Source organism: Homo sapiens, chromosome 10, assembly GCF_000001405.40.
Source record: "Homo sapiens chromosome 10, GRCh38.p14 Primary Assembly".
NCBI classification, from domain to species: Eukaryota; Metazoa; Chordata; class Mammalia; order Primates; family Hominidae; genus Homo; species Homo sapiens.
Window position 1 is genome coordinate 32,679,795 of NC_000010.11, and position 16,946 is coordinate 32,696,740.

The 16,946-nt window shown below is 39.4% G+C and overlaps 1 protein-coding gene across 45 annotated transcripts in view; it reads left to right on the top strand.

Annotated features, from left to right (window-relative positions):
• CCDC7 (coiled-coil domain containing 7) overlaps positions 1-16,946 on the top strand; it is a 439,541-nt gene that overhangs the window by 236,471 nt on the left and 186,124 nt on the right. For 39 of the 45 annotated variants that reach the window (XM_047425743.1, XM_047425742.1, NM_001321115.2 and 36 more), the window contains 3 exons: positions 6,176-6,286; positions 9,259-9,369; positions 15,085-15,198. In XM_047425743.1, the coding sequence (XP_047281699.1) occupies positions 6,176-6,286; positions 9,259-9,369; positions 15,085-15,198 (336 nt within the window). The remainder of the gene's footprint in view (positions 1-6,175; positions 6,287-9,258; positions 9,370-15,084; positions 15,199-16,946) is intronic. The other 6 variants (XM_011519673.1, XM_011519676.1, XM_011519672.1 and 3 more) reach the window with 3 other exon arrangements.

Sequence of the window (16,946 nt, forward strand, 5' to 3'; positions counted from 1 at the left end):
CTATGTTATGGTTTATGCATGGATGACAGATAGGGAATTAAGTATATTAGTGGTCAATTTTATCCATTCCATACAAGGGTAAACTGATCCTAATCATCTCTATGTAGATAGATACTGAATGGGGCATGTGCAGTGTGAATTGTTACGTAAGTTTTCACACTCTAGACAATAGCTTCTATTATGTTTACAATGTCAGATACCATTGACAAAGGCCAAAGAGCTGTTGTTTGGATTGAACAGCCAAAATCAATTGAAAATCTTTTATTGATCCAAGGCCCTACACTTAGATGTACTGAGTTATTGAATGGGGATATAATCTCAAGGAGACTTTCTCTATATTAACTTCAGCAAAGAAGGCAGTTGTTTCTTTTTTATTCCTAGACAGATTATGGGAGACAGAGGTGGTAAGTATAGGACATTGGGCAGGTTCGCAGTCTTCCTGTGCCCTGCTGAAATGGTTCTAACTGCAGCAATAAGTTAAGGAATAATAAGGAAATAAGCCTTCCATGAGGCCTTGGATAAGTCAGTGGGGTTGCACATAGATAATATATCTATATTCATAAGACCTTCATTAGTTGGGGCCATACCAATGAGAGTTTATGTTGGCCCATAGGGACACACATATGTTCTTTCTTTTTTTTTTTAATTTATTATACTTTAAGTTCTAGAGTACATGTGCACAACATGCAAGTTTGTTACATAGCTGTACATGTGCCATGTTGGTTTGCTGCTCCCATCAACTCGTCATTTACATTAGCTATTTCTCCTAATGCTGTCCCTCCCCCGACAGGCCCCACTATATGATGTTCCCCACCCTGGGGACACACATATTTTCTTATCTGGGTAAAGGTCCTCTTGATGTTGGCCTCAGACCCAAAACCAGACAGCATTATCTATTTGCCTGTCATCTTGGCGTCAAGGGTTGTCAAGATCACAGTCATCTTGACACCACTATTCAAAATGCTTAAAAAATGTACTTCTTTCCCATCTCCCAATTCATTACTTTTCTTAGCAGAGGTCCTTGGGTAATGGGGACATAAGGACCTGATCTACTCCATATTTTTGTTCACTTTTGAAAACTGAGAGAATTTGGGGAAAATTTCACCAGGCTCTCTGACTCATTTAAAGATTCACTGGAAGAAGCTGAGTGATAACACTTGTTTTAGTCATAGGAACTATTACAATGTGTACGCTAGTCAGTGAGCACCCCTTGGTTACTACATGTCCCTGAGTGCTTTCCTGGAGAGCCCCATCAGTCTCCACCTTTGAGATTCCGTTTTCATTAACAAAAGATCTCTTCAAGAAAGCCTTTGCTCAGATTTTCCAGGAATTAGTCCTCAGTTACTACTTTTTTTCATCACTCTCTCAGCTAGTAAGTAATTGCTGTGCTGGAAGTAGCTGCTATTTCAGCCTAGTAATTTGTCAGTTAATATCTGAATTTTGTGGTGGGCCAATTGACTGGACCTGTGTCTGTGGGAGGTAGTGCTGGGGAAGGCTAGGATTGGTTAAGTCCAGAATATTGAGTCAGAACTGAGAAAAGTTTCTTTAAGGATTTCCTCTACCCCACTACTTCACACCATAGGTGGTCTGGCCAGACGCACTGACTGAACAATACAGTCATTGTTTGTCACAATACAGCTACTGTCTGAACAATACAGTCAAGCCCCCACCTTCCCCTATAAAGAGGTTTTCAACTTAAGGCGATTAGACTAAAAATGTTATATGCCCAAGAGCCTGGTTGGCCAAGGGGAGAGGAGTTGATTCAAGACTGCGACTACCTCCTATGCCTGCAGTACACAAATCTTACCTCAAGTCTCTTTTGTGTTGGGAATCTCTATGATAATTGCCAGGTAGTGCCTTTGTAACTGTCCATAATTGGACCTGAAAGATCACACAAAAGCAGGGTTGGCCTGAAGTTGGATTCTTCAGTGTATTTATATGTATACACACACACACACACACACACACACACACACACACACACACACACAGCTTCATACACACATCTGCATACATATATATGTGCATATAAACATGGATATAGACCTGTAAAGTCATATTTAGAATTCATGGCAAATCTCTTGGACACCTTAAATTCCAGTTCATTTTCTCAGAGGTTGTTCTTGTCTTTCTCCATTTCATATATATATATATTCTTTCTTCTACTGTGCGAATCCTGACTAATCCACAACACAATTACCCAATTGTATCAGCATCATTATTATTTTTCAACTTTTATTTTAGGTTCAAGTGGTACACTTGCAGGTTTATTACATGGCTATATTGTGTATTGCTGGAGTTCGATGTACAAATGATTTTGTCACCAAGGTAGTGAGCATAGTACCCAATAGGTAGTTTTTCAGTCCTCACACTCTGCCTACCCTCCACCCTCAAGTAAGCCCTGGTGTCTATTTTTCCCCTCTTTGTGTCCATGTGTACTCAATGTTTAAGTGTACCCACTTACAAGAGAGAACATGTGGCATTTGGTTTTCTGTGCCTGTGTTAATGTCCTTAGGATAATTTCCTTCCAGCCTTATCAATGTTGCTGCAAAGGATACAATTTATGGTGTACATGTACCACATTTTCTTTATTCAGTCCACTGTTGATGAGCAGGCATCTAGGTTGATTCTGTCTTTGCTACTGTGAATAGTGCTGTGATGAACATGCACATGCATGTGTCTTTATGGTAAAATGATTTATATTCTTTTGGGGTCATTCCCAGTAACGGGGTTGCTGGATCAAATGGTAGTTCTAAGTTCTTTGAGAAATTTCCAAACTGTTTTCCACAGTGGCTGAACTTATTTACATTCCCATCAGCAATGTATAAAGCCTTCCTTTTTCTCTACAACCTCACCAGCATCTCTTATTTCTGACTTTTTAGTAGTAGCCATTCTGACTGGTGTGAGATGGTATCTCATTATGGTTTTGATTTGCATTTCTCTAATGATTAGTGATGTTAAGCATTTTTCCTATGCTTGTTGGCAGCATGTATATCTTCTTTTGATAAGTGTCTGTTCATGTTCTTTGCCCATTTTTAATGGGGTTCTTTGGTTTTTGCTTGTTGATTAGTTTAAATTCCTTATAGATTCTGGATATTACACCTTTGTTAGATGCATAGTTTGAGAATATTTTCTCCTATTCTGTAGGTTGTCTATTTGCTCTATTGATAGTTTCTTTTGCTCTGCAGAAGCTCTTTAGTTTAATTAGATCCTATTTGTTAATTTTTGTTTTTATTGCAGTGGCTTTTGGCATCTTTCTCATGATATCTTTGCCAAGTCCTACATCCAGAATGATATTCCCTAGGTTAATTTTCAGAGTTTTATATTTTTGAATTTTACATTTAAGTCTTTAATTCATCTTGAGTTTATTTTTTTATGTGGTGAAAGGAAGCAGTCCAATTTCAGTCTACTGCATGTGGCTAGCCTGTTATCCTAGCACAACTTTCTGAATAGAAAGTCCTTTCCCTGTTGCTTGGTTTGCCAGCTTTGTCGAAGATCAGATGGTTGTAGGTGTGTGGCTTTATTCCTGAGTTCTCTAACCCATTTCCTTGGTCTATGTGTATGTTTTTATACCACTACCATGCTGTTTTGGTTACTGTAACCTTGTAGAGTAGTTTGAAATTCTGTAGTGTGCTATCTTGGGCTTTGTTCTTTTTGCTGAAGATTGCTTTGGCTATTTGGGCTCTTTATTGCTCCATATGAATTTTAGAATAGGTTTTTCTTATTCTGTAGTTTGATAGGAATAGCATAGAATATGTAAATTGCTTTGAGTAGTATGGCAATTTTAGCAATATTGATTCTTCCTGTCTATGAGCACGGAATGTTTTTCCACTTCTTTGTGTCATCTCTGATTTCTTTTAGCAGTGCTTTGTAATTCTCACTGTAGAGATCTTTCACCCTGCTGGTGAGTACTGCTGCAGCAGCAATGGCAGAGGGGCTTGTTGCCAATTGCCAATGGGAATTCCACCCCAGAGAAACACAGAGCTGCCACAGACGGAAGTGATCAGGCAGAAGTAGGGTGGCTGCATTGAGGGCCAAGGTCGGAAGGCCCTGCTTAGTAAGGAGTAGCAAGGCCTGGGACCTGCATGAAAAGCAGTGTGGCTGTTTTTCTTTATGGCACGTGTTGCATGTTGGAGGCACGAGATAGCTTTTGAGCTCTATACTGTCTCTCTATCCTCAGGGCAATGGGGACTGGGGAGACTATGGCAGTGGCAAAAGCTGTGGGCCTATTGTGTTACCTCTGGAATCTCTGCCTCAGAGAAATGCAGAGCTGCAGCCAGCCCAAGTGATCAGGTTGGGGGGTGGGGTGAGGTGGGTTGCTGTGCTGGGGACCTAGGCCGATTGGCTTTGCTTGGCAAGGTGCCCCAGAGGTGAGGCCTCCAGTCTGTCCACATTTCAGTATCCTAGATGGGGCCCTTATCCTGGGGCGCATGGGAGATCCCTGCCTCCCTTCTTGGCAGAGCTATGGCAGCTGGTCCCAGGGTGCTCAGGAATCCAAAGCCCTTGGAGCTCCACATGGGCCTGAATAGCGGCTCTGCGGAGACTCCATGCAGCTTTCTGTGTCAGTCTGGGGGCCCCAGGGAGTAGGGTTGGGCAGGATCTCTTGTGCCTAGGTTTGCAAAGGTTCATGGCAGAGGTATGTGTCCCCAGGGGCTCTCAAGCACTCACTCTTTCCCCATGGTGGGGAGCCTTCCCTGGCTCTGTGCCAATCCCAGGCAGGTTGCTGTCCTGTCTCACTCCTCTCTGCTCTCCATGGGTCACCACTATTTCCTTGATGAATCCCAAGGTGGCCTCCTGGATGATCCAGTTGAAGAGCCACTTGCCACTTATAAATTTGTAAGTTTACTTGCCACTCTGTCTTCTCTCCTGTGAAAGCAGTTCACACTAGCTGCTTCTAGTCAGCCATGTTGGTCTTAAAATCTGGATTGTATTGCAGTTCCAAAATTATTTTAGAATTGCTTAGCACATACTTCTAGAAAAACAAACCTACTGAAAATATTTTGTGATGTGTGTACCGTCTCTTCTCCACACACTTGTCCAAGTATTAGGGCATATGTTAAATATCGTATTGATGATTTACCTGTATGAGTTTTTTCTCTTTAATAGGTTCACTAAGTTTGCTTTCAGTTTTAGTTTCTTCTTATCCTTTGTGATTTAATTTAATTTTTTTTTTTTTTGAAATATACGAAACCTGAAACTGATTCCAAAAGTAAAAAATATGCGAGGTATACTTAGAGAAGTTCCATTCCTTCCCTAGTTCACCCTCCTTCATCTTGTAGGTAATCAACTATATTGTATTCTTACATTTCACCTGTTTCATTTTGTAAAGCTAAGTATCTTTCTAATTTCCTTTCTTTCTTTTTTTTAATCCTTCTTCCTTACCTAACGGTGGCATACAAGTTTTCTCTTTTTTGGATTTTTTTTTTTTCACTTAACATTATCTCCTGGAAATCCCTACAGGTCAGTTTATAGAGATTTTTTAAATTGCTTTTACAACTCTATGTATAGCTGTTGTACCACATTATTAACCATAACTTTCATTATACTATAGTTTATAGCAAGCTTGTCCAACCTGCCTTATTTTGTTGTTGTCATTCTGGTCTGTTTTGTTTTAGGCTTTTAGCAGCCCAAAGCCATGGTTTTTAGTTTCTGTCTCTAGTGATAAGCAGAAAAGAGGAATGAGAAAGGGGCTTTACTGGCTCAACCAGAAGCAGAAACTAAGAATCCATGACTGTATTCTCTCCCTTGGACACCCCTAGAACTTTATGGTATATACATTGGCTTATTCAACCAATATCCAATGCTTGAACATTTATGTGGTTTTGAGTATTTTGTAATTACAAATAATGCCATAATGATAAACTTGTACATATGTATTTTTATTGTTTGGTTTATGACATCTATATGATCTATACAATATAAAGAACCTAGGAAAAATATAGACTAACTATATATGATTCCTAGAAATGTTTATAAAGTGAGAAAGCATCAACATACAGCCATTAAAATTCTTTTCAGCATTTTCTCATCAAATCTATTATTATTGTAATTTAGTTATAACTTTGTAGAAGTGACTGAGAATGCTCATGTAAATGTTTTATAAATTTGAAACACAGAAATTTCACAAAAGATCCATTTTTCTATTTAGTGGAATAAATGTATTTTCTTTATGTAGCTCATAATGAAGTACCAAATGAAAGGCTTGTAGTTGAGCATCAAGAATCATTGTCAAAAACCAAATTACAAATAAAGAAACAAGAAACTTCTACAGAGCAACCACTCACCAGTAAGTATAAAAATTACACATAACTTTACATTATTTTAAATTAGTCACAGCAAAGGTATTTTTCTTCAGTTCATGAATCTTGAATTTACAGAAATTTTACCTTGAACCTAAAGTATGAATACCATAAGATAACTAGAGAACAAAAGCTAGAGTATTTATCACTTGGCAGTTAGTATTTCTTGTTGTAACGGTATTTTGTAGCCATGATCATGTGCTCAGTATTCACCAAGGACAATAGCAGGCCAATAATTGTCTTTCAAAGAGTGTGTACCTTTTATCCAACTCTAGGAAGTTACAGGTCCAAAAGCCCAATTTATTCCACTGACCTGTTCAGTAAGCTGTTTCCATTTGGCATCAATCAGTGAACAGAAAGTTTGCCAAGACCTGTAACTCAAATAAAGATCAGAGGAGCTAAGGGGAACAATAGCATAGGAGGCCTGTTGGATGGACTCGAGGGCATTCTGTTGGTTGGGGCCTGCTCCAGGGTAGAGGCCTTTTTGGTAACTTTAAAATGATTGCAATCAGGATTCCATCAAGGGAACTGCCAGTAGCAGAATAGGTTCACAAGTTGCTTGGCCTCTTGTGTATTTGTTGTAATAGAGAGGGACCATAGTTTGACAGTTACCTCCTCAGGAGTGAGACATGTTTCCCCTTTCTAGTTTACTCCCAGGAATTCCTCTTGGGTAACAAGGTCTTTGTACTTTTTATGTATTAATGGCCCAGCCATGTTGCTGCATGTGGGCCAATACAACATCCAGTCCTTGCTGGATAGTGGACTTGCCTGGGCCTACCAGTAGGGAGTCATCAACGTCGTAGAAGGTTAATAGGAACAGAACTGTTTCCAGATCATGGTTTTGTGGAGGGATTTTAAAGATGTGTTGCAACCTGTTCCATATAAGACAAACTGTTCCTGATCATCTGTGTGGACAGGAATGCTGAAAAGGGCATTTGCTATGTCAATTGCTTTATACCTACTTCCCTCAGCTTGGGTAATTACCTTTATGGACAGTCACAATGTCAGGTCATATCAGTGTTCTAAGAAGTACCATAGCATTAAGCTTCCCATAATCAATGGAGTTTATAGGCACCCAAGGTGATACACACAAGCTAACTTAATTATTGCATGGAGAAATAGTCTCATGAACATCTTTGGATTCATGATCATGAAGAGCTGAGCAATAAGGGCAGTGATTTCTATTTCTCCCTCAGGCAATTTTTGGAGACCAATCTCTAGACACTTGTGGTTTAGTAAGTTTACAGTCTTCCACATGCTTCACTAAAATGACCTTAACCACAGTAGTTCCCCTTAGGGCTTGAGGCTGATGTGATTGGGGATTCACACAGAAGATACATCTATATCAATAATATATTCAGTAGAGGGAGTCATAAAAATGGAGGTTTGTAGTGGCCCAGTGGGACCCACCCATAGTTGTGTTTGGGTAAGGGTCATGTTTTTGGTGGCTTCAGACCTCACACCATATAGCATTATCTGTTTCACCCTCATCCTGGTGTCAGAGATTGTGGAGATAAATCATTGGTAAACTAGTATTCAAATGATGTGAGTTATGTAATTCTACACTATGACCTCTTTGAACTCTGACTTGGTATACATCCTCAGGTGCCACTGTGGAAATAGGGACGTTGGTCTAACCCCTAATTTTGTTTTGTTTTGAAAGCTGAGACTTCTGGGTAAACACAGACCATGTTCTCTGATTCATCTTAAGATCACTGTGATGGGTAGAGGAAATAGCACATGTGTTATAGGTATCGTCACCATTTTGACTCTAGTGGGGCTGTATGTTGGCCCTATGCCCTACTGCCTGGCCAGAAGATCCTTAGTGGGGAGTCCATCAAGCTCTTCTTTGAGACTTCATTGTTGAGTAACTAGACAATGCTTGCAGTGTCAGGGAACTCATCATGAGTGGGCCAAACTTTCAGAGAACAAATGATAGCCTATAGAGAAAGGAGAGTGCCTCTAGTGTTCATATCTCTTTTTTTTCCCTGCCACCCTTCCTCATCTTCCTTGGACACTTTTAGGGCACTCAGAATGAGGGGCTCTGTTGTGACACACTATACACGGTGCCACTGTCGCACACTATCTTAACACGCTTACCTCCTTTATGGTAGAAGCAAACTATTCAAGTTCCTATAAACTCCTCAGGTCACTGGTGAGGTGAACCTGAGAGATCTTTATTCTTTCAAATTTAATATAAATCTCAAACAATGTGTCATCATAGGCTGTCTGTTCATGCCAGGGACATATTTAGAGTTAACAATAGTTATTGGGTGCCACTCAGCAAGCAGTGTTTGCAGTGACTTGGTAACAAACTACTTTGTTTTCTGGTTTATCTTTCTGTGTTTATTTAATAAAGATAGATATCTCCCCATATTTTTCTTATTTCCTCTTCTGTCTTACCTAAAAGATAGTATACTAGATATTCTCCCTTTTGGTTTTTTTCCACTAAACATTATTTCATAGAAATATCACCAAGTCAGTTTGTAGGGATCTTTTTCATTCCTTTTGTAACTGTATGTACAGTTTTTTGGACCACATTATAGCCCATAGTTGATATTGTCATAGTTTATATGCTTTACTCAACAGATCTATGCTTGTATATTTAGGTGGTTTTGAGTATTTGCAATTATGCTGTAATGAATAACTTGGTGCATATGCATTTTCATTGTTTGGTCTATGTATACTTATTAATTGAAAATATAAAAAACCTAAGAAAGCCAGAGACTAAGATAAAACATATTCAAAGTGCAGGAATATTGATATGGTGAGATAGTTTCAACACACACCCATTGAAACTCTTCTCACCATTTTCATAGTAGATATAGCATTATGGTAATTTATTCATAACTTTACAAAAATGAGAGAAAATGCCACTGCACATTCGTAAATTTGAAATCTACAGATTTCAAATGGATTTATTTGTAATTTAGCGGACTAAACACATCTTTTTCTGTAGCTCCTGATAAAGAACCAAATGAAAATCTTATACTTAGGCATCAAGACTCAATGTCAAAATCAGAAATGCAAGTGAAGGAACAAAGAACTCTCAAAGGGCAAAGAATTATTAGTAAGTATAAAAAGTAAAGATAACTTTAAATTATTTAAAAGTAAGTTCATCCGAAGGTATTTTTGCTTTGATTCACAAAAGTTTTACACTTTGACTAAAATGTGAATACCCTACCATAATTAAAGAAAAAAGTGAAAAATATTGATACATTTTGGTTGAGAGATTTCTGGCCCTTAGATTATTTCATGACCACAGGACACACAGTATCCCCCAAGGCTTTATAACAAATGTATAATTGTCTTTCCAAAGTAGTGTGCCTTTCAGCCAACTGAAAGTAATTATGGGCCCAAAAACTTAATGGGCACCTCTCACCTGTGGCCTTCTTCCATAGGCACCAATCAGCAAAGATATTGCTAAGATCTGCAACTCAAAACAGCAAATGGGGATCATAATAACCTAGGGAAAGGTAACCTAGGACACCTGTTTAAGGGACTCTAGGGCATCCTTTTGGTCATGGCCCCACTGAAATGAAACAGAATTTCTGGTAACCCCATAGATGAATGAATGTCATCAAGGATCCCACATAGGGAAAATGAGAGTGTATTTATCGAAACAGTTCCAGTAACTGCTGGGCTTGTGTTTTTTTTTTGAGACACGGTCTCACTTTCTTGCCCAGACTGGAGTGCAGTGGCCCGATCTTGGCTCACTGCAACCTCCGCCTCCCGGGCTCAAGTGATTTTCCTGCCTCAGCCTCCTGAGTAGCTGAGATTATAGGCACACACCACCACGTCTGCCTAATTTTTGTATTTTTAGTAGAGACAGAGTTTCACCATGTTGGCCAGGCTGGTCTCGAACTCCTGACCTCAAATGATCCACCCGCCTCGGCCTCCCAAAGTGCTGGCATTGCAGGTGTGAGCCGTTGCACCTAGCCTGGGCTTATTTTTATTTGTTAGACCAGAAAGGATCAAAGCTTGGCAGTCTCCTCTGGAATGAGATGTCACCCCTTAGAAATCAATCCTAGGCATTTTATCCAGGTACTAAGTAACTGTATCTTGTCTGAACTAATGGCCCAGTTAAGAGCCACTGGTGAGTCATTAGAGCATCCAGTCCTTTTGGGAGATTTCCTTGCTTGAGTCCACTTAAATGATATAATCAATATAATGAAAGGCTAGTCCTCCCCTTGGGAGCAGGCCATTTAGAGGTCATTATGCATTGATGACAGATATTAGAGCAGTTTGGTAGCCTTGTGGAAGGATATTAGTTATGTTTTCCAACTTATTCTATATAAGGTTAATCTGAACATCTAAGTGAAAAAAAGATATGGACAGGCATTTGAGGTGTCAGTTGTTGCAAACAAGTTCCCTCAGTTTGGAAAATATCCTGTATGACAACTGTAGTCACTTGTGTCTTTGGTGGCCAGGGCTGTAATATAGCATTGGACCAGCAAAATCAATTGAGTCATTATGCACCTGAGGGTGTGTACAAGATCTACTTAGTTATTGAATGGAGAAATAGTCTTATAGAGAACTTTTGCTTCATTAAGCTCAACAAATGACAACAGCCTTTCTGTTTCTTCCTAGGAAGCTATTCTGGGAAACAAAGGTGCTAGGTGCTGTTAATCTGGATATTTACATTCTTCCATATGCCCCACTAAAATGACCTTAAATGCCTCAGTTTCCATCAGGGACTGGGATGAATGCAAGTGGGGGTTCACATAGAAAATACATCTATACCAACAATACATTTGGTGGGGGAGGGGAATAAAATGGAGTTTTGCAGTTGTCCGAAAGGATACTCTCATGGTAGTGTTTGACCAAGGGTCATTTTGGTGGTGTCCTCAGATGCAAAACCAGAGAGCATTACTTCTTTTCCCCAGTTCCTGGTGTCAGAGGTTGTGGGGATCACAGCCACCTGTGCACCAGTATCCTAATGGCCCTAGAAATGCAATTTCTTCCCACCTTCCCTTTAAATTCTGACCTTACGATACATTCTCAGATTACCACTGGTAACATGGGGATCTTGGCCTAACTCTTAATTTTCTTTATTTTCGAGAGCATGAAGTTTGAGCAAAAGTAGTGGAGGGTTCTCTGATTGATTTCAATATCACTGGGAGGTGCAAAGGGAAGAGCACTTTTATTAGTCATGGGGTCATCGCATTCTGGATTTAGTAGGGCTATGTGTTGGTACCCATGGCCCACTACCTGGCCAGGAGGTTCTTGGTGAAAAGTCCATCAGTGTCCTACTTCAGATTCCATCATTGATTAACTAGACTCAGATATTTCTTGGGGAGAGCCCTTAACTAGATCACCCAGGAATGGGTGCCAAATTACCATTTTTAGGTCACACTGTTCACTGGTCACACATTGCTATCTTGGTGGTAGATGCTTTTTCTATGCCCAGAAATTTGTCAGTTAAGATCTGAATTGTGCCACAAATTAATTGACATTATCTTATAAGGAGGTTTAATTGAGCTAGTAAAGGCTATGAAATGAAACTAGACATCTAAATCTGGTTAAATCTTGTCATTACTGTCCTCACTCCATCAGTGATCTTAGAGACAGCGGAATGGCTCAAGGGCCATTACAGCCTCTGCAGATGAAGGCCCAAACATGTTTTCCAGTAGCAGGGAACACAACTGTCCTCACTCCATCAGTGACCTTAGAGACAGCGGAGTGCCTCAAGGGGCCATTGTAGCCTCTGCAGATGATGGCCCAAACATGTTTTCCAGTAGCAGGGAACATGTCATGGGTGGGCAATCCTGTCAGAGCCAAAAATAGTTCCCAACTGAGGAAGGAGAGGGTTTCAGATGTTTACATCATTCGTCCCCCTTTCCTCCACTTCCTTAGGCAATATGGGCACTGTCAAGATTCTCTTAAGGAGGCATTCTGTAGTGATAAGCTCCACAATATGCCCCTTTCACTCCCTAAGTTAAACAAGATTATTGCTTTATTGTGAAGGCACACTACCCACATCTCTTAGTTGCTGGGCAAAATGATCATCAGGACTCTGCATTGTTTTTCATTAAAGCATGAGTCTCAATAACTGACTGCATTACAGGCTGTCCACCATTTTTAGGGGAGTGCCTAGGGCTAAGAATAGTCATTAGGTACAACTCAGTGTGCAGAGTCTCCAACTTTTTTGAGCCCATTGACTTAGGGCCAGGAGCAATAACCACAAAATTGCTTCCCTAGCTTTCTCAGAGCCCATCTGCTGGATTTTTCAATTGACTCACTGGATATCTTGGTATGTGAATCAGAGGATAAAGAGACTATTGTTCCATGTCAGAATTGAAAAGCTCATGTAAATAATACATTAGCATTCTAGAAAACCGCATGGTGTCTGCTGGCACTTTCTAAGAGATGATTGATTGACATGACTGGCAGAGTGCCCTGTGGGATGTTGAGTCTCTTGCAATTGATCCAGTAGCCTCCCCATCACCCTTCCACTGAGAGTGTCCTGCAGGCTCACTAGTACCTACCAAAGTGTTCCTTCCAGAAAGGCTTTGTGCTTCATTGACCACCCTGCTCTTTGTGGTAGTTTGTTAGAAACAGAAATGCCAGTTTTTGAGTTGGTCTATTAAGATAACATGCCAAACTCAAAGTAACAATTAACCTTATTCACTTACTAGCATATTAAAAGCCATAGCCTAGATAGAGGCAGGTCCCCAGCTCTACCAGTGTCCCATTTTACCCCACAGAAAAGCACTTAGCAAGGGTCAGATGCATCAGTGTAGACTGTGTGAGTGGGCATGGGATGGGGTTGTCTCATGGTGGAAGGAGTCCCAAACAAGAAGCTGTTTTCCATTTTATGGACCCTGAGGCTGAGTTAGCTGGAGCTCTGAACCACATGAATACCTTTAGCTATTTGCTCCCTATTCTAATTCCTCTCAAATTGAGTTCAGATTGCTTAACACATACTAGAACAACAACTAAAAAGATTTCATGATTTGTTTACACTCCACCTCCACCTCTCATGTCCAATAGTGAGGGTTTATGTCAAATACTATATTGATGAGTTACTGCTTTTATTTTTTCTTCAATGATTTCATTTCATTATTTCCTTTTAATTTTCACCCCACCTTCTTTTCCTTGTTGATTTAATTTTGTTTTTGAAATTGTAGGACATGAAACTACTTTTGAAAGTAAAACAATATATATGCAAAAAGTTATACTTAGAGGAGTATATTTTCTTCCCCAGTCCTCTCCCTCATTTTGTAGGTAACCAATAACATTGTTTCTTATATCTCTCCTCTGCTTCTTTTTGTAAAGATAACTATCTCTCTATTTCCTTCTCTATTTTTTTTCTCATTTCTTCATCTTCCTTCCCCAAAGATGGCATTCAAGTTTTCCCCTTCGTAGGTATTTTTTTCCTTCACATTATTCTTTGAAATCCCTTCAGGTCAATTTATAGACATGTTTAATTTGTTTTACAGTTACACTTACAGTTGTTTGTACCACATTATTTACCATATGTACTATACCATAGTGTGTGGTATACAGCACGTCCTTGAATAACATCATTTTGTTCAACATTGTTTGATTATAATGTTAATAAGAAAAAAAAATTGATTCCTAGCCAGGCACATGGTCTGGAGTTAGCACATTCTCCCTGTGTCTGCATGAATTTTCTCCAGGTGCTCCAATTTCCTCCCACATTCCAAAGATATGTATGTTAGGTAAATTGATGTGTCTAAATGGTCCCTGTCTGAGTGAGTGTGGGTATGTGTCTGAGTGCGCCCTGATATGGCATAGCATTCTGTCGAGGGCTGGCTCCCCCCTTGTGCTCTGAGCTGCTAGGATATGTTCCAACCAGCTGCAACCCTTAACTGGGATAAGTAGGCTGCAAAACATGTGAATGAATGAATGAATACAAGTTATTATAAAATAAAAATTCATATACAATAATTATACAAATGCAGACAATAAACAATGCAGTACAAAAGCACTCTGTAAGCCACCATATTTGTGATTGCTTTTAAATTATATGATGGGAGGAGATGCTCCTTACAATTTTGCTTTGCTTTTGATTTATTCCTTTGAATAAATCAAGAAGTTTATTCCTTGACTTAACTCACCACCACTATGACAACCATCATTCACTGATTAACCACAAATTGGGTAAATAATTGTCACTTGTTTTTATTATTTTTTCTTAAATCTGTGTATAGCTCACATTTATTTTAGTGTTTACTATTAGAAGTGTTTTGGGTCTTTATTTAGAAGTTTGTGATGTTTTTGTTACCAAAAAAATACTGTAAGAACTTAACTCTTGTTTATGTCAATTTGCCTACGGCAAAATGGGTTTCATTATGTGTCATTTTGCTTAAGGTCACAGTTTCCAAGATTCTATCAATGACATTACGTGAGGACTTACTGGATATACATATCTCAGTTTATTCAACCAGTCTCCTCTGCTTGAAAGTTTATGTAGTTTTGACTATTTTGCAATTACATATATGCTATAATAAATAACATTGTACCTATGCATTTTTATTTTTATTTCTGTGAATATGTATTAACCTAAAGTATAAATAACATAAGGAAACTAGTGACTAATATATATCAGATGCCTAGAAATGTTATGAAATAATGAGCTTCACCACACACCCATTAAAAATGTTCTTATAGTAGTCATGTCACATCTGGATTTCTGATAATTTACTTACAAATTTATCAAAATGAGAAAATTTTGCTACACAATTACAAGTTTGAAATCTAGAGATTTCACAGTAGGTCTGTTTTTCCATTAAGAGACTAAATGCATCTCCTTATGTAGCTCATGATGAAGAACCAGGCAAAAATCTTGTGCTTGAACATCAAGATTCAGTGTCAAAACTGGAAATGCAAATTGAAAAAACCAAAAAACTTCCTAGAGAGAAAAGACATAGTAGTAAGTATAATAATTATAGATAACTTAAAAATTTTAAAGTTAATCTCATTAGATCATTTTTCTTTGGTTCATGACTATGTAGTTGAGCATATAGTTTATGGAAATTTTATACTTTACAGTGTGAATACCTTAAAATAACTAGAGAACAAAAGCCATATAATATTTGGTTGGAATTTCTGGTCTTGAGACTATTTTATGGCATGCTCATGTGCTCGGTGTCCACCAAATCCAATAAAAATCATTAGTCTGTCAAAGGGTGTTTGCTTTCAGCCAACTGTAGGAGATTATGAGTCCAAGTGTTCAACAGGAACCTTGGGACATGTGGCAGTATCCTTCTGTCATAGACTCTAATTGGCAAACAGAGAGATTGGTGAGATGTGTAACTCAAATGACAAAATGTATCAGAGAAGGCCAAGGGGAAAAACAACCTATGTGGTCACTGGAGGGTCTCCAGAACATCCTGTCTTTAGGCTTCACCTAAGGGTAGAGGTCTTATTGGTAACCTGATAGATGGTGTCATGAAGATGCCCGTTAAGGGAATTTGAGAGCTCTAGTCTGGGCTTTCCTTTTACTTGTTGGGGCTAAGAGTGACTAAAGCTGAGAGTGACCTAGCCCTTGCCGGGTAGTGTTTTTGTCTGGGCCCAGACAAAATGAATATAGTGGAAGGCCAGTGCTTCATCTGGGAGTGTTGCTGTTTTCACGTCACAGCCTTGAGGAGGACATTAAAGGTGTAATGCAGCCCATTTAATGTAAGGCGGACTGATCTTGATCATCTTTGTGGACAAGGATGCCGAAAAGGGCATTTACAATGTCAGTTGCTTTAAAGCTATTTCCCTCAGCTTGGGTAGTAGCCTCTGTGATAGTCATAGTATCAGGTAACAGCAGTGCCAAAGACAGAACTACGGCATGAGCCACCAATAGTCAATTCTTTTCCAGGCACACAATGCCTTAAGCAAAAGGCCAGATGGTGAACTTTGGCTTCCTTAAGCACAGCAATGAAGACTTTTTTTTTTTTTAATCCCCAAGACAGTTGATAGTGTTTTTAAGAGACAAAGACACTAGCTTCTGGTAGTCTGGTGGGTTTAGTCTTCCATATACCCCAAAAAAATGGTCCTAATTGCAACAATTCGCCTCAGGGACTGGGGGTGAATACAGTCAGGGGTAGACATAGACAATATGTCATAACAATAACCCATTCAGTAATGGGTTCCATAATGATGGAAGTATGTAGTGGCTTGAAGAGACCTACCTGTAGTCAGATCAGGATGTTGGTGGTGGTGGCCTCCAACTGAAAACCAGAGAACCTTATCTATTTCCTCCTCATTCTCATGCCAGGGATTTTGGGGATCACAGTCGCCTGTGCACTATTATGCAAAAGGCCCAAGAAATGAAATTCTCCATGTCCACTTTGAACTTTAACTTTGATATAGGGCCTCCATTCCTCACTGGGGACATAGGGACATTGGCCATGTCATAGTCTTGTTTTCTGTTTTTTTTTTTTAAGCCAAAAGATTTGCATAAAAATTGGCAGGGCTCTCTAATTCATTTCAAAATTCAATGGTAGAAGAGGAGAGCAGCATTTGTATTAGTTATAGGGGCCAGCACTGGGCAGAACCTAGGAGGCTGCCATTGAGCCCAAAATGGCACACTACCACCAAACCATGAGTTCCCTGGTGAAGAGCCCATTAATCTCCTTTTGTGAGTCCTTATTGTTGGGTAACCAAACCTAGAGATCTCTTTGGTGAGGC